Source organism: Homo sapiens, chromosome 10 (assembly GCF_000001405.40).
Source record: "Homo sapiens chromosome 10, GRCh38.p14 Primary Assembly".
Taxonomy (NCBI): Eukaryota; Metazoa; Chordata; class Mammalia; order Primates; family Hominidae; genus Homo; species Homo sapiens.
In genome coordinates this window covers 63,859,643-63,887,225 of record NC_000010.11, presented here as the reverse complement: position 1 = coordinate 63,887,225, position 27,583 = coordinate 63,859,643, and the positions used below count along the sequence as shown (strand labels likewise).

At 40.0% G+C, this 27,583-nt stretch overlaps 2 long non-coding RNA genes across 3 annotated transcripts in view; one reads left to right on the top strand and one right to left on the bottom strand.

The window, feature by feature from the left end:
• LOC124902439 (uncharacterized) overlaps positions 1 to 14,637 on the bottom strand; it is an 820,351-nt gene extending 805,714 nt beyond the window's left edge. Inside the window, exon 1 of the long non-coding RNA XR_007062161.1 lies at positions 14,250 to 14,637. This is a non-coding gene — a long non-coding RNA (uncharacterized LOC124902439). The remainder of the gene's footprint in view (positions 1 to 14,249) is intronic.
• LOC101928859 (uncharacterized) lies at positions 132 to 27,583 on the top strand. 2 transcript variants are annotated; one of them, XR_246119.4, is made up of 4 exons: positions 132 to 272; positions 19,009 to 19,147; positions 26,434 to 26,477; positions 27,506 to 27,583. It is a non-coding gene; the product is annotated as an uncharacterized LOC101928859 (long non-coding RNA). The 2 variants fall into 2 exon arrangements; XR_007062169.1 differs by lacking the exon at positions 27,506 to 27,583 and adding an exon at positions 26,666 to 26,751.

The window sequence follows — 27,583 nt, the reverse complement described above, 5'->3', positions numbered from 1 at the left end:
TGCTTCCTCTGCCAGCAGGAAGTCAGCTAGCAAAGAAGCCCCAATGATATAGTCTACAGCAGGCAGCCTGCCAGGGTGCAGAGCAGGGTAGAAAATGGATCGGAAGGGCAAAGGTGAGGTAGAGTTGGGAGACTTACCTGAGGTCACATAGTCAGCTTCACCTGATTGTCAGGAAAGTAACCCTGTGAACCCTAGCTGGGGAGAAGAACCTAAAGGCAAGAGAGAGAACCGTTCTATAGGACCCGGGAGGATTTGCCATCATCTGAAGGAAGGTAGGGTTCCATACAGTCTCTGGAAGATGAGGTAAGAATAGTCAGTGATCCAGTTTGATTATGTAACCACATGGAGCAAGAGCTCTAAATTTACCATTGAAAATATCTTCCCAACAATGTCAGGCAGAAAATTGTTAGGCCAGCCGGGAAAGGCTCAGGTCTGGGAAGAGTCATTCCAAACCCAGAAAAACAATGACTCAGAAGAAATGATCTTCCATTTCCTAATTCTTAATTCTTAATACCAAATAAAATCCTTCTTTTTGCAAGCTAGAGATTCCCAGCTAATCATGCTGTGTTTTGCTCTGATTAACCTTTGATATAGGCATTTCCTCTTTTTTTCTTTTTTTTTTTTTTTTTTTTGGTTGTTTGATGCCAAGCTCTCCTTAAAGGTCAGTGAGCATCATACCTAATCTGGCTTCTAATTACATTTGTAAACATTTCAGAATGAATAAATGCCAACATAATTAACCACCCGGCATATTATCTGCTCTCTCCCTTTGCCCAGAGTACAGATATCCAGCAAAGGAGCAGCCCAGGCTCCTCTGACACTCATATTTGTGATATGGAAATTATTTGATTGAGTCTATTTAAATCAGAGTTTCCTAAGATTCATTGTCAGGCCACTACTAGGCACAAAGATCACCTGAGGATCATAGTAAAAATACAGATTCCCGAGCACTTTGGGAGGTCGAGGCGGGCAAATCACGAGGTCAGGAGATCAAGACCATCCTGGCTAACATGGTGAAAACGCATATCTGTTAAAAATACAAAAAAAAAAAAAAATTAGCCGGGCACGGTGGCGGGCGCCTGTAGTTCCAGCTACTCAGGAGGCTGAGGCAGGAGAATTGCGTGAACCTGGGAGGCGGAGCTTGCAGTGAGCCGAGATAGCGCCACTGCAGTCCAGCCTGGACGAAAGAACGAGACTCCGTCTCAATTAAAAAAAAAAAAATACAGATTCCCAGATCCTAGTCCTAGAATTCTAATTTGTTCTGGCTGGGGTGGGGCCTAGAAATCTGCATTTCTTCCTTATATTACTTTTCCAATACTGATATAAAATCCAGTTTGTAAGCCACTGATTTAGATCATTTTTCCCTTGGCATGAAGTCCATCATACTCAGTCATCTCTACTCTTATCCCCTAGTCCATAGTACCCCTTACTTGCAGGCTCTTTTATGACATTTTACCTTCTAAAGCACATTATCCTGACTCCCTCTCTTCTAATTGAGAGGGGCTAGATGATCTAAAAATTTCCCTTCAGCTTTAACTTTCTAGGAATTTATGATTCACTGGCACAGAAACGGTAGAGTGAAAATTCAAGCATTGCATAATTTGTCCCAAGGCCTATCAGTGGTCCATCCAGTGTTAATGGCCTTCTTCATTCTACTAGTGAACAGAGTCACCAGGCCAGCACCTCCACACCTGTGACCAAAGGCAAACCCAGGGCCAACATGGCAGGCTGGGCAAAGAAGCTGAAGCAAGGTCCCAGCTCTTTCTAGGACCCACATTAAAACCTAAGGACTACTTGCCAGGCCAATTGGCTTCACAAACACTATGTCATCTCTCTGGGAGTAAAAAAGTAGGCACCAAGACAAGGGAAATCCCCCAATAAGATGACTAACTCTCATCCTTAGCAGGCTGTGTCCCCAAGCCTGTACAAATCCTCAAGTCCTGCTCTGTCTTAGGGCTTTTGTGCTACTATAACAAAATACCATAAGCTGAGTAATTTGTAAACAATAGAAATTTATTTCTCATATTCTGAACACTAGAAGGTCCAAAATCAATGCACTGGCAGGCTCAGTGTTTGGTGAGGGCTGCTCTTTGCTTCCAATATGTTGCTGTGTTCTCACATGATGGAAGGGACAGAGGGGCAAAAGGAGGCGAATTCATTTCCTCATGTCCTTTTAGAAGTGCTAATCCTATCCTTGAGGGTGAAGCCCTCGTGACCTAATCACCACCTAAAGGCCTCACCTCTTAATATTGTTGCACTGGGGTTGTGTTTCAACATGAATTTTGAAGGGGACACAAACACTGAAATCATAGCACGCTCAGACTGCCCTTTTCCCCAGACGGCTTCCAACTCTAACTCACTATGCTTGCAGCAATTCCCAATCTTGGTAATATCATCCCCCTAGAGAACACTTGGAGATGGGAGCTGGGGGGACCGGGACTGGCTTTTTTGGTTGTCACAATGAGAGCATGCTGGAACTTTGGCAGGGAACCTAAAAATCATGCAGTGGGCAAGACAGTTCTGCACAACCAAAACTGTCTCACCCAAAATGCCATTAGCACCCATACTGTGAAATCAGAATCACTTACAGTCTGAGCCACACAATTTAGCCCTTAATTATAGCTCTTTGTCAGGAGAATTTATTGCAGCATTGTTCAGGTAGCAAAAGCCTAGAAACAACCTAAAAGACCATTGATAAAGGGGCTATTAAATAAAGCGTGCTATATTCATACAAAAGAATTCCATTAGAATGAGGGAGATCAATATGTACTGATACAGCACAATATCTGAGATATTTTATGAATTTTAAAAAGCAAAGCACAGGAGAGTATTATAGTATGTCTCGTTTGGTATTTTGGCAAAAGGAAAGGTGCTATATGTACGTATATGCCTTTATATAGAAAGAATCTCTCAGAGAGCACTAAGAAACTGATTAGAGGGAAAGAGAACCAGGGCAAGAAGGGTAGGGGTGGGAGAGGAACTTACTTTCTACCTTCAGTACTTTAGAATTTTTACTATGTATTTTTTAAATATGAATAGCATCTCTTTGGTACTGCTGTTGTTCTGCATTTGTTTGCTTTGCCCCCTGCAACTATACATTAAGTTCCTTGCAGGCAGATATATTCCCCAGGGCACTTAGCACAAAGCAGGTGCTGGATATATTTCTATTGATTTATAAATTAATGGATTTCTGAAAGAACTCAAGCCAGGAAAATAATTCCTTTGAAAACCAAAATACGTACCCAGGCAGACAGAACCAACTGGGAGCTTTTTTCAACCTGGGCTTTCATGCCTGTCCCTCATTCAGAGGGAATTCAAAGAAGATTAGAGTGAGGCTGGGGATTTTACCAAGATGGGCCACTTTTTCCACTTCAGCTACGCCACATTCACTCTAAGCTACTAGACTGACCTTTGTAATGTCCCACCTGTGCGATGCCAATTAAGATGCTGAGGACTTTTACCTACGTTAACTCATTTGCCTCTTAACGATCCCATGAGACAAATACATTCACCTTCATATCTTAGGAGAATGGGATGCAAAGGTTATGACTTACTCAAGACCACAGAGAATTTGAAGTTAGGGTCATCTAATGTTTAGTGCTTTTTCCTATACAAAGCTATAAAACACAATCTGGCCTGTCTTCAGAATGACAGGACGGCAGAGTTACATCTGCGGGACCACATCTCAGGACCTCCACCTACAAGCTTGAGACTTAGGGCAAATTAAGTGGCTCCCCTGGCCTCATTTCTTCATCTGAAAACAAACAAAAAGACAGTGCTTCCCTACCAAGGTTATTGGGGCTGGAATAAAATGATATGCTCTATAAAAAGCATTAAGCTTTGAATCTGAGTCACAGTAGAAGCTCAATAAATATAAATTTATTTCTTCTTCCTCCTTTCATGCTACCAGAGTTGCCCCTCCAAAATTCAATTTAATATGATAACATTTTCTATTCTAATGTGTTTATATTGAAACTTTCCAACACTTTTTTTGCACTACAAAATTCAAGATATTGGTGACCCTCTACCCCTCTATTCTTTTTTTTCTTTTTCTTTTTTTTTTTTTTTTTTGAGATAGTCTCACTCTGTAGCTCAGGCTGGAGTCCAGTGGTATGATCTGGGGCTTACTGCAACTTCTGGCCTCCTGGGTTCAATCGATTCTCCCTGCCTCAGCCTCCCTAGTAACTGGAACTACAGGTGCCCACTTCTACACCTAGCTAATTTTTTGTATTTTAGTAGAGACGGGGTTTCACCGTGTTGCCCAGGCTGGTCTTGAATTCCTGAGCTGAGGCAATCCACCCGACTTGGCCTCCCAAAGTGCTGGGATTACAGGCGTGAGCCACTGCACCCAGCCGACCCCTCCATTCTTTAAAAAGTTACTGCAATTTTTTAAAGTTCTGGGCCAGATGCGGTGGCTCACCCCTGTAATCCCAACACTTTGGGAGGCTGAGGCATTTGGATTACTTGAGGCCTGGAGTTAGAGACCAGCCTGGCCAACATGGCAAAACCCTGTGTCTACCAAAATACAAAAACTAGCCAGGCATGGTGGCATGTGCCTGTAGTCCCAGCTACTCAGGAAGCTGAGGCACTGAGAATCACTTGAACCCAGGAGGCAGAGGCTGCAGTGAGCCAAGATTGTGCCACTGTACTCCAACCTGGGCGAAAGAGAGAGACTATGACTTGGAAAAAAAAAAAAAAGTCCTGGTTGGGTTTCATGAAGACTTTAACAGGGACTTTTATTACCATTCTTCAGGAAAGGCAGTGGTTCGCCTAAAAGGACAGGTGTGACTTGCTCCTGCCAGTGTGGAAAATAAACAGACAATTAATTGCTTTGGATCATGGTGATAATGATGAAAACAATAATGAAACAAAAGTTTGTTTCATTAAAGTATTAACGATTTTAAATTGTCTAAATAGAAAGTATGATTTTGGCATGAAAATTCTCATGTTAGTACCCATGTCATTACCTCTATTAAGTAAATTTAAATGAACAGAGGGAGTAATGTCAGCAAGGTGGCAGAATATGAGGTCCTTGCTCATATCTCCTCACAGAAACATTAATTTGTCAGCTATCAACAGACAAAAGTACCTTTATGGGAGCTTTGGGATCCAGGTAGGAGGCTGTAATACTGAGGAGGGCATTTTGAGAATGCAGGTCTATGCCCAGGTGGTATGCTCATTGACCATGGCCCCAGCTACAGACCCAGAAACAGCCCCATCCCCCTGTGGACTTGGTTACAGCCCAATTTGGCCCTGGTTCTGCTACCAGCACCATCCACCATGGGACCTGCAAGGAGCCAAGAGGAAGTAGTTTAATATATTCAAAGTGTTAAAAGGAAAAAACTGCCAACCAATAATACTACACCTGGCAAAGCTGTCCTTAAGAAATGAAAGAGAGATAAAAGATAAAAGACTTTCCCAGACAAACAGAAGCTGAAGCAGTTTATCACCACCAGACTTGTCTTACAAAAAAACACTAAAGGGAATTCTTCAAGTTGAAACAAAAGGATCCTAAGTAACAACATAAAAACATATGAATGCATAAAACTCGCTGGTAAAGGTAAATATATAGTCAAATTCAGAATACAGTAATGGTGGTGCATAAATCACTTTTAACTCTAGTGTAAAGGTTGAAAGACAAAAGTATTCAAAATAACTATAGGTATAATAATTTATTTATGGATACACTATATAAAAAGATGTAAAGTTTTACTGAAATAGCCTAAAAGGTAGTAGAGGGGAAAGTAAAAGTGTAGAGTTTTTATATGCAATTGAGGTTGTTATCAGCCTAAAATAGACTGTTATAATTCTAAGATGTTTTACGTAAGCCTCATGGTAACCACAAAGAAAAACCTCTATTAGATACAAAAGAGAAAGAGAAAGGAATCAAAGCATGTCACTAAAAAATCAACAAATTACAAAGGAAGACAGAAAGAGGATAAAAGTAACTACAAAACAGAGAACAATTAATAAAATCATAATAGTAAATCCTTACCTAGCAATAATTACTTTAAATGTAAATGAACTACATTCTCCAGCCAAAAGACACAGAGTGGCTGAATGCAACAACAAAACAAGATACAATAATATGCTGCCTAGAGGAGACTTTAAGGACACACAGAGGCTGAAAGTGAAGGGATGGAAAAAGATATCCCACACAAATGATAACCAAGGGAGAGCAAGATTAATTATACTTACCTCAGACAAAATAGACTTTTAGTCAAAATCTGTCACAAGAGACAAATAAGGTCACTATATAATAATAAAGACATTAATTTCATCAAGAGAATATAACAATTGTAAATATATATGCACCAAACATTGGAACACCTAAATATATAAAGCAAATATTAACAGAACTGAAGGGAGAAATAGAAGGGAATATAATAATACTAGAATAGGGAGAATAGAAGGGAATAGAATAATACTTTCAACAATGAGTAGATCATCCAGACAGAAAATCAATAAGGAAATAGAAGACTTGAATAGCACTATAGGCCAGGTGGACCTAATAGACATAGAGAACATTCCACCCACAGCAGTAAAATATACATTCTTCTCAAGCACATATAGAACATTCTTCAGGATAGATCATATGCTAGGCCACAAAACAAGTCAACAAATTTAAGAAGACTCAAATTACATTAAGTATTTTTTCTAACCACCTGGTATAAAATTAAAAATCAATATCAGGAAGAATATTTGAAATTCATAAGTATGTGGAAAATAACACATTCATTAACAACCAATGTGTCAATAAAGAAATCAAAAGGAAAATTAAAAAGTATTTTGAGGCAAAAATAGAAACAGCATTCCAAATCTTATGGGAAGCACAAAAAGCAGTTCTAAGAGGGAAGTTTACATTGATAAATACTACATTAAGAAAAAAAAATCTCAAATAAACAACCTAGCACTACACCTCAAGGAACCAGAAAAACCTAGAACAAGCTAAGCCCAAAGTTAGCATAAGGAAGGAAACAATAAAGATTAGAGAAAGAATACATGAAATAGAGACTAGAAAGACAATTGAAAAGTATCAACAAAACTGAGTTAGTTTTCTAAGAGTTCGTTTTTTGAAAAGAAACAAAACTGGCAAACCTTTAACTAAACTAACCCAGAAACAAAGAGAGAGGACTCAAACAAATAAAAGCATAAATTTAAAAGGATACGTTACAACTGATACCATAGAAATACAAAGGATCATAAGAGACTACTATCCAATAAATTGTATAACCTAGAAGAATGAATAAATCCCTAGAAACAGACAACCTACCAAGACCAAATAATAAAGAAACAGAACATCTGAATAGACTAATAGTGAGTAAGAAGATTGAAGCACTGATCAAAAACATCCCAATGGAGAAAAGCCCAGGACTAGATGACTTCCTGGGTGAATTTTACCAAACATTTAAAGAATTAATTTCAATCCTTCTCAAACTCTTCTTAAAAATTGAAAGAAAAGAACACTTCCATATTTATATTACAAAGCCAGCATTACCCTCATACCAAAGCCAGACAAGGACACTACAAAAAAAGGAAATGGCAGGTCAATATTCCTGATGAATATAGATGCAAAAATTCTCAACAAAACACCAGCAAACCAATTCAACAGAACATTAAAAGAATTATACAGCATGATCAAGCTGGATTTATCCCTGGATGCAAGGATGGTTCATTGTATGCTGATCAATAAATATGATACACCATATTAGCAGAATGAAGGATAAAAATCACTACTATCTCAACAAATGTAGAAAAAGCATTTGACAAAATTCAACATCCTTGCCTGATAAAAATTCTCAATTAAATAGAGAAACAATGTACATCAACATAATAAAGGCCATAGCACAAGTTCACAAGTAATATTATACTCAGCGGTGAAAAGATGAAAGTTTTCCTCTAAGATCAGGAAAAAGACAAGGATGCCCATTCTCACCACCTCTGTTCAACGTAATACTGGAATTACTAGCCCAGAAAATTAAGAATTAAAAGAAATAAAAGTCATTCAAATCAGAAAGGAAAAAGTTAAATACTCTCTGTTTGCAGATGGCATAATTTTATTTATATAAAATCCTAAAGACCACCGTGAAAACTGTTATAAATAATACATGACTTCAGTATAGTTGCAGAATACAAACGTAACATACAAAAATCAGTTGTGTTTCTATACACGCTCCAAAAAAATAAATTAGGAAAACAATCCCATTTATAATAGATACCAAAAAATAAACACTTATGAATAAATTTAACTGAGGAGGTGAAAGATCTGTACACTAAGCAGCCTAAAACATCAATAAAAGAAAGCCAAAAAGATACAAACAAATGGAAAGATATCTAGTGTTCATAGATTTGAAGAATTATATTCTTAAAATATCCACAGTACCCAAAACAATTTAGAAATTCAACGCAATACCTCTTCAACTTCCAAGAGCATTTTTTACAAAAAACGTTTTTTAAAACCCAAAAATTTGTATGGAACCACAAAAGACCCCAAATAGCCAAAATAATCTTGAGTAAGAAGGTAAGAAGAAAAAGGTAGAGGTATCACACTTCTTGATTTTAAACTATAATACAAAGCTATAGTAATCAAAACAGTATGGTACTGTCATAAAAACAGACATTAATTGGGATGCAAGGATGGTTCAGCATATGCAAAACAATAAACATAATACACCACATTAACAGAATCAGAATGAAGGATAAAAATCACAATTATCTCAATAAATGCAGAAAAAGCACTTGACCAAATTCAACATCCTTTCCTGATAAAATCTCAATTAAATGGGGAAAAAATTTACTTCAACATAATAAAATCCGTATATGACAAGTCCACAGCTTGTCAGTGGAAGAGAATAAAGAGCCTAGAAATAATCCCATGCATATACAACTAATCTTTGACAAAGGCATCAAGAACACACAATTAGGAAAAGATAGTCTTTTTTTTTTTTTTTGAGATGGAGTTTCGCTCTTGTCACCCAGGCTGGAGTGCTAGTGGTGTGATCTTGGCTCACTGCAACTTCCGCCTCCCAGGTTCAAGCGATTCTCCTGCCTCAGCCTCCCAAGTAGCAGCGATTACAGGCATGCACCACCATGCCCAGCTAATTTTTGTATTTTTAATAGAGATGGGCTTTCACCATGTTGGCCAGGCTGGTCTCAAACTCCTGACTTGAAATGATCCGCCCGCCTCAGCCTCCCAAAGTGCTGGGGTTGTAGGCGTGAGCCACCACTCCTGGCCAAGAAAAAGATAGTCTCTTTAATAAATGATGCTGGGAAAACTGAAATCCTCATGCAAAAGAATGAAATTGGGCCCTTTTTGTACACCCTTTTTGCTGAAAAAATTAAAAATAAAACTGACATATGATCCACCAAAAAAATTACCTCAAAATGGATTAAAGACTTAACTGTAGGAACTGAAACTATAAAACTCCTAGAAGAAAATGTTGAGAGAAAGTTCCTCGACAATGGTCTTGGCAATGATTTTTTTTTTTTTTTGCTATAACACCAAAAGCACAAGCAACTAAAGCAAAAATGAACAAATAAGACTGCATCAAACTAAAAAGCTTCTATACAGCAAAGGAACAAGCAACAAAATGAAAAGTCAACCTGTGGAATTGGAGGAAATATTTGCAAATCATATATCTGCAAGGGATAAGGGATAAATATCCAAAACATACAAGAAACTCAAACAACCCAAGAGAAAAAAAAAAGTGGAAGCATCTGAATAGACATTTTTCCAAAGATATACAAATGGCCAACAGGGATATGGAAAGGTGCTCAATATCCCTAATCATCAAGGAAATACAATTCAAAACTACAATGGGACATTGTGTCACACCTATTAAGATAGCTGTTATCAAAAAGACAAATGATAAATGTTGGCAAGAGTGTTGAGAAAAGGAAACCCTTGTACATTGTTGAGGGGAATGTACATTGATACAACCATTATAGGAAATAGTATGGAGGTTCTTCAAACAATTAAAAATATAACAACCATATGATCCAGTAATCCCACTTCTGGGTATACAGTCATGTGTCACTTAACAACAGAGAAACATTCTGAGAAATTCATCATTAGGCAATTTTGTCATTGTGCCAACATCATAGAGTACACTTCCACAAATCTAAGTGGTATAACATACTACACACCTAGGCTTTATGGTATAGCCTGTTGCTTCTAGGCTCCAAACCTCTACAGCATGTTACTGTACCAAATACCGTAAGCAACTGTAACACAATGGTATTTGTGTATCTGAACATATCTAAACATAGAAAAGATACAGTAAAAATATGATATTAAGATCTTAAGGGACCACCACCATGTTTATAGTCTATAGTTGACTGAAACATCATTAAGTGGTGCGTAACTGTATATCCAAAAGAAATGAAATCAATATGTCAGAGAGATATCTGCACCTCCATGTTCATTGCAGCTTTATTCACAATCACCAAGATATGGAATCAACTTAAATATCTGTCAACAGATGAACAGATATATGAAATGTAGTACATGCACAATGAAATACTTCAGAGTCATAAAAAAAACAAGAAATCCTGTCATTTGTGACAACATGGATGAAACTGGATGACATTATGCTATGTGAAATAAGCCAGGTACAGAAAGATACTGCATTGTCTCACTTATATGTGGAATCTGAAAAAGCTAAAGTCATAGAAGCAAAGAATATAATGGTGATTGATCATTATAGAAATGCAAATCAAAACCACAATGATATACCATCTCACACCAGTCAGAACAGCTATTACTAAAAAGTCAGAAAATAACAGATGCTGCTGAGGTTGCAGAGAAAAGGGAACACTTATACACTGTGGGTGGGAGTGTAAATTAGTTCAACCATTGTGGAAAGCAATATGAAGGTTCCTCAAAGAGCTAAAAGCAGAAATATTCAACCCAGCAATCCCATTAGTTTGTATATACCAGGTGAATATAAATCACTCTACCATAAAGATACATGCACGTGAATGTTCATTGCAGCACCGTTCACAATAACAAAGATGTGGAATCAACCTAAATGACCAAAAATGACAGATCGGATAAAGAAAATGTGGTACATATACACCATGGAATACAGCATAAAAAGGAATGAGATTGTGTATTTTGTGGGAACATGAATGGAGCTGGAGGCTATTACCCTTAGCAAAGTGATACAGGAACAGAAAACCAAATACCACATGTTCTCACTTATAAGTGGGAGCTAAATGATAAGAATTTATGAATACAAAGAAGGAAACAACAGACACTGGGTTCTACTTGAGGGGGGAAGGTGGGAGGAGGGAGAGGAGCGGAAAAGTAACTATTGGGTACTGGGCTTAGTACCCAGGTGATGAAATAATATGTACAACAAACCCCCATGACACATATTTACCTACGTAACAAACCTTCACATGTACCCCCAAATCTAAAATAAAAATTTTTAAAAAAAGACAGAATGGTGACTGCCAGTAGTGCAGGGAAGCATGGTGCAGAGGGCAGAATGAAGAGATGTTGGTCAAAGTGTACAAACTTTCATTTATAAGATGAAGTTCTGGGAATCTAATGTACAACACTGTGACTACAGTCAATATGACTGTATTGTATACTTGCAATTTGCTGAGAGTAGATCTTAAGTGTTATCACCACCAAAAAAATGGTAACTGTGAGGTGATGAATGTAGTAATTAGTTTGAACATGGTAATCATTTTATTATATAAATGTATATCAAATCATCGTATTGTATATCTTAAATACACATTATTTTATTTGTCAGTTATACCTTAAGAAAGCCAGTGGGAAAAAATAAGAAAAATAAACGAATAGAATGTTTCTGGTTGCACTAAAGCATCAGGCATTACTCAGAACAAATATTTGTATCTTTTAATGACATTTGCAAAAGATAAATGTAATTATAAAATCCTAAAATGGGAAAGTTCCTAGTAAGACCATACAGTTCAGCCACTGTTCTGCCTCCAAGAAAAGCTAAGGAAAATTATTTTGAACATGCAGCCTTATATCATTAAAACAACAAAATCATGTGCCTATTCAGTGAGTTCTTAAGGGGCAGAAAAGTTAAAATCTAATCCCTCAATCAACCGGTGCAGAGTCTCTCAATCCTGGCTTCACAAATGCCCAGGGCTATGCCTCACCCCTCAGATATTCAGATCTCAGTGGTTGCAGTGGGATCCTGGGAAGTGATATTTTTTTAGCCTCTCCAAATATTGTAATATGCAGCCTGGGTTATGAATCTCTGATCGCTCCCTAATATTTTTAACATCTTTATTGAGATATAATTCACATATCATAAAATTTATTCATTTAAATTACACTTCAGTGGTTTCCTGTATGTTCATGGACTTGTAAAATCACCACAATCTCACTTTACAACATTTCCATCACCCCAAAATAAAACTTGTACCCATTAGTAGTCAAACACTATTCCCCACCCTATCCTTCCCTCAGCCTTAGGCAACCACCATTCTACTTTTTCTCTCTACTAATGTGACTACTGTAGGTACCTCATATAAGTGGAATCACACAATACTTGTGTCTGGCTTATTTCACTTTGCATAATGTTTTCAAGGTCCATCAATGTTATAGCACGTATTATAACTTCATTTTTTTAATGCCTGAATGGTATACCATTATACGGATATAACAATCTTTGTTTATCCATTCATCAAGTGATGGACATTTGGCTTGTTTCTACTTTTTGGCTATTATGAATAAATTTCCCAAATATTTAAAAGCACTTTCAAAAGCTCTGCTTTTTTAAGTAATATAAAGCATGCATGTAACAGCTTGAAAGCATTTTTTGGGAAGGGAACATCAGTACTCACCCTTCTCTGTGGCGGCTTCCTTTAATCTCACTACTCTTCCAGTGTGGAGTGCAGAACTGAACACAATTCTTTTAACACTGTCTTGGTGGAATTTCAATGTCTAATTGCTTTGCTCAGCCTTACATTCTTGACACCCATGTCAACAATCCCACTGTATTTCTTTTTTTAAACGAGGATATGGCCTCACCTAGTCAGCTTATTATTTATTGTGACTTGGAGCAGTCTTTTCCCACACACCTTAGTGCAGAACATCTTAACACTTTTGGGACTTTCAAGTCACTCATTTCAGCAGCAACAGCAGCAACACCATACCTCCAACAACTCTCTCTTCCTCTCTCCATTCAAAACTGTATGAAACAAGCTCTCACGTTAGTCAGTTCATCTCCTTTTGAAATCAGACCAATGCTGTTTCCTTGGGCAAATTGCATATGAAGGCTCTATCGTAAAAATTAAAGTAACTATCATGTACAGGCACTTACTTTCAAGTACTGGGCTAAATACTTAACACAGATAATTTCATTGTATACTCATAACCAGCCTGCAAGATAGGTACCATTGTTTCTATTTTACAGATGAGAAAACTGAAATTTGGAGCAACATACCCAGTACATGCAGTGGATGAGTAACAGTGATATGGTTTGGCTGTGTCCCCACCCAAATCTCAACTTGAATTGTATCTCCCAGAATTCCCACGTGTTGTGGGAGGGACCCAGAGGGAGGTAATTGAATCATGGAGGCTGATCTTTCCCATGATAGTGAATAAATCTCACAAGATCTGATGGGTTTATCATGGGTTTCCGCTTTTGCTTCTTCCTCATTTTCCCTTGCCACCACCATGTAAGAAGTGCTTTTTGTCTCCCACTATGATTCTGAGGCCTCCCCAGCCATGTGGAACTGTAAGTCCAATTAAACCTCTTTTTGTTCCCAGTTTTGGGTATGTCTTTATCAGCAGCATGAAAACAGACTAATAAGAATAACACCAGATTTCCACCCAGATCAATCTGGCTCTCTGCCTCTCTATTATATATCCTCTTCTGCTTATATAATCATGGAATTACTCAACAGATAATTGTGTCATAGTTATGCCAGCAACTATGCCAGACCTATCGGATACAGAAATAGGCAAAGCAAAAACGATTCCTGCCTTCATGGGGTTTACCGTCTAGTAGAGGATAGAGACACCAATTGTATTGTCCCACAGTCATATAATTACACACTGTGAAAAGTACCATGAAGGCAAGTTGCACTGAACTGAGTGAGTGTGTCACCTGGTCTAGTAGGGTACCAGGGGAGGGAGGGAGTGCTCCAGCTCCCCAAGAAAGTAACACTTGAAGTCTGAAAATCTTCATCCTGGTCCACAAAGAAATTCTGGAAGTGGGATCAGTGGGAGAGGAGAATTTTCTGAGGAAGAGGCTTACCTGGCTGAGATGTGCCTCAGCAATAATGCTGGCAGGTGGGCACCTGGTTCACCACCCTTTCCCCACAGACTTTCTTTGTCCTCAGTTGCCTGTCTCCAGGATGTCTCTTGCATTTGTCCTTATTTCACTTCATGCCACGTGCCTGGTTGTTCCTTCAGCTTACCAGAGCAAATCAGCACCATCTTCTCAATGATCCACAACCACAGAAAACATTCCCACTGAAACCAACATCCATTCAGAAAGGAGAAGGTGGCCCAAATGATTAAGAAACATGTTACACTCTATTTGGCTGGTTTAATTCCAAAAGGTTAAGAGAATATTATTTCCAGGAGCCAGAAGTGGAGAGAAAAAAAAACAAGTCTGCTTTTATGCAGACATCCAAATTGCTGCAATATTAAAGCTGCTCTGGATTGAAGGCCGTGAACTGTGCTGCTTCTGCTCCAAGAGCCTTGGTTTTGCTGCCATCTGCTGCTCCACGCCAGGCAGTGCACTGCGATTCACCAAGGCCTTGCTACACAGCCAAGGCAAGAGGGAAAAATGAAGAGCAGGTTCCAACTCCTGGGCTGAGAGGGCTGCTCCCTCCGGGAAATGGTTGGGCAGCTGGGCCTGGGGTCTGCTGTTTTTGAGAAGCCAGACTCCCTCTTTTAGAGCTAGGGAAGATGCACTGATCGAATGACAGCAGAGAACTTCTGAATGTGGTGTTTTCACTCATCCTGCTGACCTGCTTAAACGCCCTCCTCTGAAATGAATACATCCACTCTACCCTTGGGATCAAATCGACACCTCTCTTGACCTGACCCTGACTTGAGTCGTCTCCAACCTGACTCTTTTTTGTTTTTTCTTTTTTTGTTTGTTTGTTTGTTTTTTGAGACGGAGTCTCACTCTGTAGTCCAGGCTGGAGTGCAGTGGCGCAATCTCGGCTCACTGCAAGCTCCGCCTCCCGGGTTCACGCCATTCTCCTGCCTCGGCCTCCCGAGTAGCTGGGACTAGAGGCGTCCTTCACCACGCCCAGCTAATTTTTTGTATTTTTTAGTAGAGACGGGGTTTCACCTTGTCAGCCAGGATAGTCTCGATTTCCTAACCTCGTGATCCGCCCGCCTCGGCCTCCCAAAGTGCTGGGATTACAGGCGTGAGCCACCGCGCCCGGCCTCCAACCTGACTCTTATACTCTGCTCCAACCACACTGTGAACCATACCGTTGCCCCCACCCACTTCCCTCTTGCCCTCCAGCGTTTGCCCAGAACGTTCCTAAGGCTTAAGTGACCTATGATACCTGCCCATCCTCTTTCCTCTCACTCTTACCCAACACAGATCTCGGCTTAAAGGTTATGTTGCCTGGAAAGTCTCCAGCCCTTCCTCGCCTTCCCATGTCCTCTCCCAAATGCTCCCCTCTCACTCGGTGTCTCTTCCTGACTTAAGATCTACCACACTCACAATGGAGAAAGGGGAGACACTTAGATCAATGGAACAAAATAGAAAACCCAGAAAGAGACCCACATAAACATGACCAATTGATTTTTTAAAAAAAGCAAAAGCAGTTTAATGAAGAGAGTCTTTTCAACAAATAATGCTGGAACAGTTGGATATCCATATGTACAAAAAAAAGTGCTTCAATCCACATCTTGTACCATATACAAAAATTAACTCAAAATGGATAACAGACCTAAATATAAACCTAAAATTGTAAAATTTCTCGAAGAAAAATCTTTGTAACTTTGAGTTAGACACAGTTCTTAGATATAACAACAAAATTGCAATCAATAAAATTTAAAAATTACTTGCTTACGCCTATAATCCCAGCACTTTGGGAGGCCAAGGTGGGCAGATCACTTGAGGCCAGGAGTCTGAGACCAGTGTGGCCAACATGGCGAAACCCTGTCTCTACTAAAAATACCAAAATTAGCTGGGCGTGGTGGCACATGCCTGTAATCCCAGCTACTCGGGAGGCTGAGGCAGGAGAATTGCTTGAACCCAGGAGGCAGAGGTTGCAGTGAGCCGAGATCATGTCACTGCACTCCAGCCTGGGCAACAGAGCGAGATTCCATCTCAAAAAAAAAAGAAAGAAAGAAAAGAAAAATTTAAAAATTGGTAAGTTGGGTTTATTAAATTTTTAAGTTTTTGCTCTGAGAAAGACATAGCTAGAAAGGACAAACTGGGAGAAAATAATTGTAAATTTCACATCTGACAAAGGATTTGTATTGAGAATATATAAAGAATTCTCATGAAGAAGGAGGATGGTTTGAACCCAGGAGTTCAAGCTGCAGTGAGCTATGATGGTGCCACTACACTCCAGCCTGGGAGACAGAGTGAGACCCTGTCTGGGAAAATAAAAAAAAAGAATAATTCTCAAAACTCAACCACATCAAGCAAATCTAGTTTTTTTTAATGGGGAAAGATTTCAACAGGTACATTACCCGGAAGATATATAGATGGCAAATAAGCCTGTGAAATACATTCAATATAACTAGTCATTAGTGAAAAACAAATTGAAACCACAATGATACTATTACATCACTAATAGAATGGCTAAATTAAAAAAGAAGAATATCAAGTGCTGACAAGGATACAGAGCAACTGGAATTCTCATACATTGCTGGTAGGAATGCAAACTGGCATAACTACTATAAAAGAGTGGAAGTTGTTTCATCTTAGATTTATTTTATCTCTAAGTAGCTTCTTATGAAACTAAATATACACTTACCATACAACCCAGCAACCTCGCTCCTGGATAATTACCCAAATGAAATGAAAACCTGTGTTCACACAGAAAATAATATGTAAATGTTTATAGCAGCTACATCACCAAAAACTGGAAACAACCAGAATATCCCTCAAGCTGGGAATGGATAAACAAACTGTGGCACATCCATTCAATGGAAAACTACTCATCAATAAAAAGAAACAAATAATCAATACATGCAACAACATGGATGAATCGCAAATACACTATGCTATGTAAGAGGGCAGACCCAAAAGGCTATATACTCTGTATGGCTCCATTTATATGACATTCTGGAAAAGACAACTATAGAACTGGAGAACAGATTGGTGGTTTCCAGGCACTGGGGAAGAGGGCAGGCTTAACCACAAAGAGGTAGAGGAAATTTTTTTAGAGGAACAATGGAACTATTCTATATCATGATGTGTGATAGTTATATGACTCTATGCATTTACCAAAACTCACAGAACTATACACTTAAAAAAATGAATTTTATTGTATGTAAATTTTTAAATAGAAAAAAAATTAATCACACTCGGGGCAGCCACTGATATATACGATGCCTTGGCAGGATTTGCAAAGAGGCTCCCCCTCTGTGACAAAAGTCCCTGTAGTTCTCATGTCTGCCCTGGAAGAGGGGATGGAGACTGGGTTTTAGCCCCACTTGCCTCCATTATCTCCCCCTAGGCCAAACTTTGCACAAACTGCTCAGCCTTTTCCAGTCATCGTGGCCTAGATTATAATCAGCTATTTATTCATCTGTTTCCCTGCTATCATGAGTTTCTCAAGGAGCTTTTCTGATCCATCATCGTAGCCCCAGCAAGCTGCCAAGTGGCCGGCACAACAAGTATTTGTGGAATGGATGAATGAATGATCACTACTTCCCAGAACTCATCTCTGAACAGCCCACTCACAGCGACATCTCCTTCCTATGAAGTCCTAGAAGACATATCTGTGCCTCTTATTTGTCATAACTAACAATAGAGGCAGTAACTCTATATTGACATAAATGTGGATAGACAGGTTTCTTCCCAGCTAAATTGTAAGCTCTTTTATGGAAGAAAAAGGCACACAAACCTATGTCCCATACAGAGCCTTGAATAGTGCCATATGCATAGGAAGAGCTTAATAAATGTTAGTTGATATGCTGAAGAAACATAATTTTTTCTTAAAAGTATATGGAGAAGAGAAATCACACTAAGAGGCAGAAAAAGACATTAAATAAAACCATTAACATAATCAAATAATTTTTGATTGACAAGGTTTTAATTTTCTTTCTTTGTTAACATGGATATGTGTTTCTATTAAAGAATAAAAATGAGCCAAAGGATTAATGCTAAGTAAGAAAATGCAGTGCTGATAAAAGTGAACGTTCAAATGTTTTCCTCTATGTTTTCATAAATAAGGTTTGTATTTCTGTATATTCTTATATCTCTGGAGAGAAACACGGTATATGAAAGGAAGCCATTGTGCAGAGACACAGCTCAGCTTCCAATTTGCTTTTAAGGATATCCATCTTGTAAATGGGGATAAACTGTAACACCAGGCTTCTATCTTTCAGTAGGAAGAACATGTGCAAAGCATTTCAGGATCCTTGAGGGAAAGGGAAAATAGCTAGCTATTGACAGCATTTTTAGGATGGATGTTGATAATATAGTAAAAGCACTCGAGTATTCGAGGTAGGGGAGGCAAATGTGGCTGCAACATCAAGCATCCCATTTGATCACCAGGATAGAGCTGCCCCGTCAACTGTAATCCTCGGCTGCCATCAAGGTGCCCATCAGTATTAATGTTACTGTTAAATACAGCCAGTTGACTGCGGTACTAATAGAGTTAATAATAGCCACATAGCCAGACAAAAGACTAGAAGCAGGCAACCAAACTCAACCTCAGAATTTCATTCAAGAAGTGCAGGGCCTGCCTCCTGGCTTGCATATGTGTCTCCCACAGCCACAGCCAGGGAGCAGAAACGTTATTCCTCAGGTCTGACAGTTCTATGTTTCCAAGACCTTCCTTTACATCTCACTGACTTCCTTTCAGACTGAATCTTGTCTGCTCTGGGGAGGCACGGAGGAGCCTGTGACTTGTGAGTTCCAGTAATCATTGTACATCTCTGCTTCTGCCTTTGCCAATGAGCCTGATTTTAGGCAGAGAAAGAAGATTCTGCCTAACAAAGTAGGTAAGAGGAAGGTCTCAGAATAAAGAGACCAGGGTTCTGCCACTTACTTCCTGTGTGTCTTTGAGTAAGTTACTTGACCACACTAAGTCTCAGTTTTCTCACCTCTAGAATGGAGATAATAAAATTTACCTCATAGGGTTATGTAAGAGGTGGATGGGATAGTGCACATAAATGGCTCATTATAGGGCCAGACACATAGCAAGCACATAATCAACAAATGGTCATCTTTAAATGTTTTTAGTCATGCTAAAGGCAAACTGGGGAAAGGGCAAGAAAAGTGACTTCAATGCCACTAACTGCATTTCCAAAAAAGAACCTGAACATTCCTCCTGGTGACTCCCTGTAAGAAGTTCACCATAGAGACATCTGCACCAAGCCTACCCCAAGCCCTGCTGGTTCATGTGTCAGGTGGAATCTTTCTCTGACAGTCAGAAACCAAAGCTGCCCCCACCCAGAGACACAATACGCCAATGACTGCCAATCCCATTTCCAGATCAAATGTGCACTTGCTGACTGCTTTGAACAGGTCATTTGGCTGACTGGTTTCCAAGAAAGTCACTGACTATCAAACTAAAAATCTGAGGCCATTTATTGGTTAATAGTCCAGTCCCAAATCACAGGTGGGGCTGGCCGCTGGCAGCTCTGGGAAGAACAGTCATCCCATCCTTGGCTCACACACACCTCAGTTCTCTTCTGAACTCTTTTACCCTCTCCAGGGTGCCTTCATGCTCCTTTCAGAAAACCTGAGCCCCTGGACACCTCATCGTCTCATGTTCTAGGCCAGTCTCCTGAGAGACATTTTACTGATCCCTGACCCATCAGAGATCCTTTTCCAGAGGTTTGAGTGTTTTGAGGCATTGTCCTTGAGGTACTATAGCAGTGTGATTAAGAACCTAAGCTCTAGAATCAAAATGCAGCCATAGTGACTTTGGCCAAGTATTTCCTTTGTTTAAATAAGGGAAAAATACTAGAACCTACTTGAGAGGATTGAATGAGATTTCTAAAGCTCTTGGCACATAGTGGCACCTGGTGGATAAATGCAAAACAACAACAAAAAAAATTGTTTCATATTAGCATTAGCTACCCTATGGAAAATGAACAGACATGCCCCTGTTGAGAAAGGTAAGAACCCACAGGTGTTACAGCCTGGGGGAGAGGCTGTTTCTGCAAAGCAGGGAAGTCTGTCTAGGGAGCTCTTTACCACCCACCATCATTACTGCCAGGCCCCAGCTCCAGGATACTGAGAAATGCAGCAGCTCCTTCCTTGATTAGATTTCAATATTCCAATCGCTAGACCCTTGCCACTGTTTCAAACGCCTTTCAAAAACTAAGAGGCAAGGAAGAGCTTTCTCAGCAGCTTCCAGTCAATTCTGAAGAAATGCCTCTCATTTTTCTCTACTAAGAAAGCAATTTGCCAAGGGACCTATAGCCAGGAGGAAAGGCTTGGCGTTCTTTGGAGATTTATCGCCATCTAGAGGATGCACTGCCACAGTGCAAGACAAATGTGGCCGAGGAGATTTCCCCGAAAGGGGCTTCTCCTCCCTTCTCGGCTCTGCAGCCTTCCAGAGGGCGTGACGCCGGGGATTGACAGTCTGCACGCCGTCCAAGAGGGGAAAGCGTGCCATTGAGACAACTTGCATTTCAAAACATCAAAATACAATCCCTTTCTTTGAGTCCACTGTTCCGAAATGCTTAATTATTTTAAGGGTCTTTTCCTTCTTAATTTCTTGGAGATTGTTATCTGTTAGAGATTCTCACGGGTACTTTTCTAGAGGTGGCATAGCCACAGTCTCCCTGGTGCTGAGGGTGGAGGGGGAGCTGTACTAACCCTAGGTTATATGTGTACCACTGTATGTGCTATTCTACGGAGTGGCTGCGATTTGGTGGAAGACAGAATTTGATCTGTGAGCTGTGTGAACATGGTATAGTACACTCTCGTACTTTTCCTCTTCAGTTCATTCCTTAGTCCCCCACTGTTTCCCTGAAACTGCCTCTACCAACATCTTTTTCAGTCTTCCCGTCATGAGCCTTACTTCCCCTGTTCGAGACGCTCCCCGCCTCCTTTCTGACTGCTCCCTCATACCTTCATTCGCAGACATCTTTCTCTGTCTACTTCTTACATGTTAATGCCTCCTCGGACTTCTACCTCTGCCCTTGTTTTTGTTTCACTTTGCACAGAGGTCCTCAAGTTTTATTGGGCATCATTATCAGCTGAGGAATTTTTCCAAAATATACAATAGAGATGGCTACATTCCTAGAGATTGCACTTCGGGGACATCTGTACTTTGAATAAGTTCCTTAGGTGATTCTGATGTGCACCAAAGGTTGAGAACCAATGGGCTATTCCTAGGAAATTTTTACTTACTGTCATTAGTAAACAATGCTTAAACAGTAAAAATTGCTTAAACAACCACACATACTCTGACAGTTCCAAATCTTGCGCATAACTAGGGTTTCACTGGCTGTTACCCATTCCTGACAATGCAGAATCCCAGTGTGCAGCCAAGTCGCTACCAAGTACTTCTAGAGTCCCCTGGGGTTGTCTCATGGACACATTCAGCCCACTGCCCCATAGTTACCATGTACCAAACTCAGTTCCTGCCTTCACCTTCACCTCCTGGCTCCCATTGTTTGGGTGTTGCTGCATCCATTGGGCCCCCTGCTGTTTCTGCCAGACACCACAGTGTCTTCCTGCAGCCAAGGCCAGCAGGAAGCACTCGAGCAGACCGTGTTCTGTTGAAGAGTGGGCAAAGCTAGTTGTCTTAGAGTAAGTTCCCCCAAAAGCAGAGCCTGGGGCAAGCACTTGGGTGCAGATGACTTATACGAGAAGTGATGCAGGAATCTGGAGTGAATGAATGATAAAGTGAGACAAGAAAAGAGGAAAAGAAAATATAAAGATGTGTTATCCAAGTACCATTGGAAGAAACAGGGCATGGTTCAACCAGGGCCCCCACAAAGCATACAGGATGGCTCCAATGCTGCCCACCTGCAGGACTAGTATCTGGAGTATTTAGCCACTGGCTCCCAATACCTACTGATTGAAGGTTGCTCCCAAGAGCATTGGCTCTCCTGGATTTCTGGGCTGCAGGTGCATATAAGTCAAGAGGGCTTCTACAAAGCCAGAGAATACCCTAAGAGAGACATCAGAAAGATACACAAAGTGAGCCTCAGTTCACCAGAACCATCTGCCACAGCTCCAGCTGAAACTAGAAATGGGCAGTGGGGAGGTGGCATGGGCACCAAAGGCATCTGCCACACTCTCCCCCTCACTTTTTATGTTACACACTGTGCAAGGAGCTCAAAGCAGTGACATTTATTCCCTAATATCGTTTTCAGAGAGTCCATATTTTCAGTTTTTCTTTGTAGCTTCCAACACATATTAACCCCTGGAACGAATCCATGTTGTTCATAGAATCACCCACCCCCTGTAAGCCAAAGCCATGAGTCCCCGAGGTGTAAGGACTGTGGGTATGTCTGGTGCCCTGGAACATCCAGAGGAGCTTTACTTGGAGAAACTCAGGCAAAATCGACAGGAAAGCCTCATAATCTCTTGCATTGGAATAAGTGTCTCCTACAGAGCTCCTCCAACCCCAACAATTCTCCCGATGTGTCTCCATGTGTCTAAACACCTGTGTGCTGTGGCTTTCTCCCATATGAAGCCCTAATTTTAGGTATCTCCAAGCCAGATTTTTGCTGTATTCCATAAATCTTATACCTACTGGACACCTTGACCCAGATGCCTCCCAAGAAGCTCTAACTCAACACAAATAAACCTGAACTCATTTTCTCCCCTCCCAATGTCACCACAAATCCTCCTTCCCTTCCTAAATTTCTCGTCTCCATGAATGATACCTCTATCTGCCTGGTAGTCCTTAAGAAAAACCTAAGAATCACCCCAGGTTTGACCTCTCCTTTTGCCATACATGTTTAATTAATCACAAATGCTATTCCATTGACAGTGAAATTTGCCTAAAGTGAATTTGCCTAAAATTTGTTTACCTGAAACCTATTTGCTTAAGGATATTTTTTCTGCCAAAAATTATGAATTAAGCGTTATGAATTAAGTTTTTTCTATAGCCAGTGTTTCCCAAAATACTTTGAACCTAATTTTGTATTTTACATAGTTATGCATTAGTTTTGCAAAATTATACCACTAGTATGATAAGTTTGTACATTTGGGGGTGTCTCTATTTCACATACTTTTTCACACTCCAAGTATTTTTTAAATATGCTATTTCTAGCAATAAATATTTATAAAATCTGCAGCATTTCAAAAAGAATTTTATCCAGTTTACTCATTTGTATTTTTTCTTCCCTGCATTTTGTCTTTTGTTTGTTTTGCACAATGTACAGTTTATGTATGTATTAACTAAATAGAATATCTGGTATCCAATGGCATCTGGTAGCAAGAACCAAGTATAAAAAAAGTTTGGGGCTGGGCACAGTGGCTCACACCTGTAATCCCAGCACTTTCGGAGGCCGAGGTGGGCAGATCACTTGAGGTCAGGAGTTCAAGGCCAGCCTGGCCAACATGGTGAAACCCCGTCTCTACTGAAAATACAAAAATTTGTCAGGCATGGTGGTGGGCGCCTGTAGTCCCAGCTACTCAGGAGGCTGAGACAAGAGAATTGCTTGAACTTGGGAGGTGGACGTTGCAGTGAGCCGAGATCACGCCACTGCACTCCACCCTGGGCAACAGAGCAAGACTCTGTCAAAAAAAAAAAAAAAAGTTTGGAAAGTAATGTCCACACAAAGCCTTGCACATAAATGTTCATAGTAGCATTATCCTTAATAGCCCCAAACTAAATAATCCAAATGCCCATCAGCTGATGAGTAAAACACAAATTAGCAATAAAAATGAATGAAATACTGATACATTACAACAACATTAATGAATCTCAAAAATATGATGAACAAAAGAAGTCAGACACAAGACAAGGAACACATATTGTATCATTCTATTTACATGAAATCCTAGGAAACCAGTGACAGAAGGCAGATCAATAGTTGCCTGAGGCCAGTAGTTGGGGGAAGGATTGACTGCAAAAGGTCACTATTAGGAAACTGAGATGCAGAGAGATTAAGCTACTTGTCCATTTCCACAGAGTTAGGAGGTGCCTGGGTTCCAATCCCAATTGTGTTTTCACCAGTCTCGCTGTGTCTCTGATCACAAGTTTCATAACATCATTTCATTCTAGTTCACATCTTCCTAAGATAAGTCAACTTGCTTAGATATAGAACAATGTGTCTCAACCTTTTTTTTCCATTATTGTCCCCTAAAGACCTCTTTTAGGTATTTTTTTAAATTGTCCTCCCCATGATATTGCATATATGTTTATGCACTGTAGCTTTGGGAAGCCACAAACCATTGTAATATCTAAGTTTTTTGCTCCCCCACCCCTGTGAGGCTGCCAATCACAATTGTCACCTCCTTAGAGGTGATATTTCTCTATTGAAAGGCCAAGTCTAGAAGACACCCCTTTGACGCAGAAGTGTAAAACGTCTTGGTCTCATCATTAGCACATTTACAAATGATCCATGTTTATGTGTTAGTGTCATGTGGCCAACTGCTTCTATTTTGTATTGATTTATTTCATCTCAAGCACAGAGAGGCAGAGTTTCAGAATCACCCCTTCCCCAGGGGTGCACATATTCCAAACATCTAGCCTTCACTCACTCACCACACCCTTCTGGTTAGAATGAATTATTTTACACAATAAAATTCTGAGTGGAGATGATTTTGAGTCAGAAGAGTCCAGTGGTTAGTGTCATTTGTGTTTTGCCATGCCTTTTCCTTTTCTAGCACAGATAGCAACCCCATCTGCCTTTGGAAAACTCTCTTCCCTTACTCCACATGGTTCTGATGAGGCTGCCAAGTACAATACACCACCAACCCCTGCTTTCAGGTATCTGAGGCGTGTGGCCTAAATTGACCAATCCCATGTCTTTAAACTCATGATCACTGTGATTGGCCCTGGGGCGGGCATATGATAACAGCTAGGTCGATGGGAATCATTACCTGTGATGTAAAATACGATCACTGAGAAAAAGAAATTCTCTATATCAAGAATTCTAAGGCTATAACCCCAAAATAAGTCCTAAGATAATGCCTTGTGCAAAATTTAAAAGTATGTCTTACAAATGCTTCCTACCCAGCCAACCTCCAGCCCTCTCTCTAGGTATACAGTAGTCCATAGCCATAACCCTGTGACTAGTACAGTCAAACACATAAACACACACACACGCACACACCCATCTTCTTATGAGAGAGAGAGGTATACTGAATAAAGAAATTAACACCAAAATATAAGTAGCATTATGAATTATCTACTTCCAACAAAGAGAACTAGGTAAGGAGGCAATATTTAACCTAAAAGGATGAATCTTAGAGATAGATATTATCATTTGGGTAAAAAAAAACTATATTGAGGCAGATAATTTTTATGCCTCCCAAATCACACCAGGTAAATAGTTATTAAATGTATAGAATCAGCCCTGCTTTATTAATCTCCTGGAAGAGGGACGCTAAGTATAAAACCAATCATTAATCTGAATTTCATAGGAGGATTTCTAGCTCCAAATTCTATATGTAATTTACTCCTTCCTATTCTGTATACGTCAAGAACCACAGATAATTATTTCACACATTCTATTTAGAGAAACTGTTTACCAAGTTTGATCATTCTTCATAGAGCCAGGACCTCCGGTGATGAACAGAATATGTTGGAGGAGACTTTAGATGCTTTGTATAAACTGATGTTTAAAAACATTTATTGTTCCTCCTGAAAGTAATAAAATTCCAGCTGCCCAACATACAGGGAATTTAATTTCCTATGAATAAATATAAGTGGCCAGATTCTTAAAAAAAAAAAAAAAAGAATGGGCTACATTGATCAGAGAGCCATGTTGTACTTAATACTTGCCATCTACACATGACTACACACACACACACACACACACACACACACACATGCACACACACACACCTGCTGTTGCCATAAGAGACCAATACTATATTGGTCTCCCAGTTGACTGACAGCAGAATGATGCTGGGAACATATTCAGCTGAATGGCTGAGGATACTCTAGTGACTGCTTACATGTATGGCACCAATGGTAACAGCCAATGGGTAAAGAGCAGTGTTTGAAAGGGCCAATTGCATCAAGTAATTTCATGGCTGTTTATAAAGATTCATCTCCCCAAAGTCTGATGAGGCTGTTCTGCCAGTAACTATGGGTCTGTTTTGATGCCTGATCTTGACTGAACACAGCTGTTCTTATCTCCAGAGACAGGTATCCTGGAGTTCATGAAAGACGTGTAGCTGATTCAGGTAAGGACAATCAAATAAACAAGCCTCCTTGACAACAGAGTGGCTGGCTTCACAGTACCACCTGAAATACACACATGGGACACCATATATCCTACTAATAAGTGCCCATGTTGCTTAAAGTGTATTAAGTAACACAGCATCAAGCCTGAGGGACTAACATAGTGATCAGCCCTCTCCTCTGCCCCCAGCGCTGCCCTTGAAGTAAACCTGACCATCTCATTTCCAACTTCTTTTTGGATGAAGTCTAACTCAAGATCTCATGCAATTGACTCCCAAGGGGCCCCTACCTCATCTTCCAGAAATGACTAAGTTGTAGCATATATTGTATCTAAATCCAAGTTATAACGCCGGCTACATACAGAGGTAAAGGGAAATTAAATTTGATTACATTAAAAATGTAAATGGCAATCCAAAATGCTTTTTTAAAGCAACAGACACCAAGAATTTTTAATATTTATTTACAAATGGGACCAGAAAGGGAAAGACCAATGGGAGGGCTGTCTGAGAAGGATGAGCACATGCCACACCCCAGGTCTTGACATTGCCAAATATTTGGCAAACACTATCTCATGTAATCTTTACAACAGACCTACAAGGTAGGCAATAATGCTCGTATTTTACAGATGAGCTCATTTAGACTAAAAAAGTTAAGTCATTTGTCCAAAGTTGCATATATACTGAGTACTGAGCTAGGATTTCCTTCCAGACCTATCTGGCTCCCAAAGTATTGTCCCTTAACCACAGTGCTATGCTGTGCTGTTTCCCCAGAAGGCCTTAAATACTTCACTGCCCCACTCCCTGGCTTCACAATCCTAACCTAGTGATATGGTTTGGCTGTGTCCCTACACAAATCTCATTTTGAATTGTAGTTCTCATAATCCCTATGTGTGTTGGGAGGGACCCGGTGGGAGGTAATTGGATCATGGGGGCAGTTCCCATATGCTGTTCTTGTAATAGTGAGAGAGCTCTCACAAGATCTGATGGTTTTATAAGAGGCTTTTCCTCACTCATTCTTCTCCTTCCTGCAGCCATGTGAAGAAGGACATGCTTGCTTCTTCTTCCACCATCATTGCAAGTTTCCTGAGGCCTCCCCAGCCCTGCAGAAC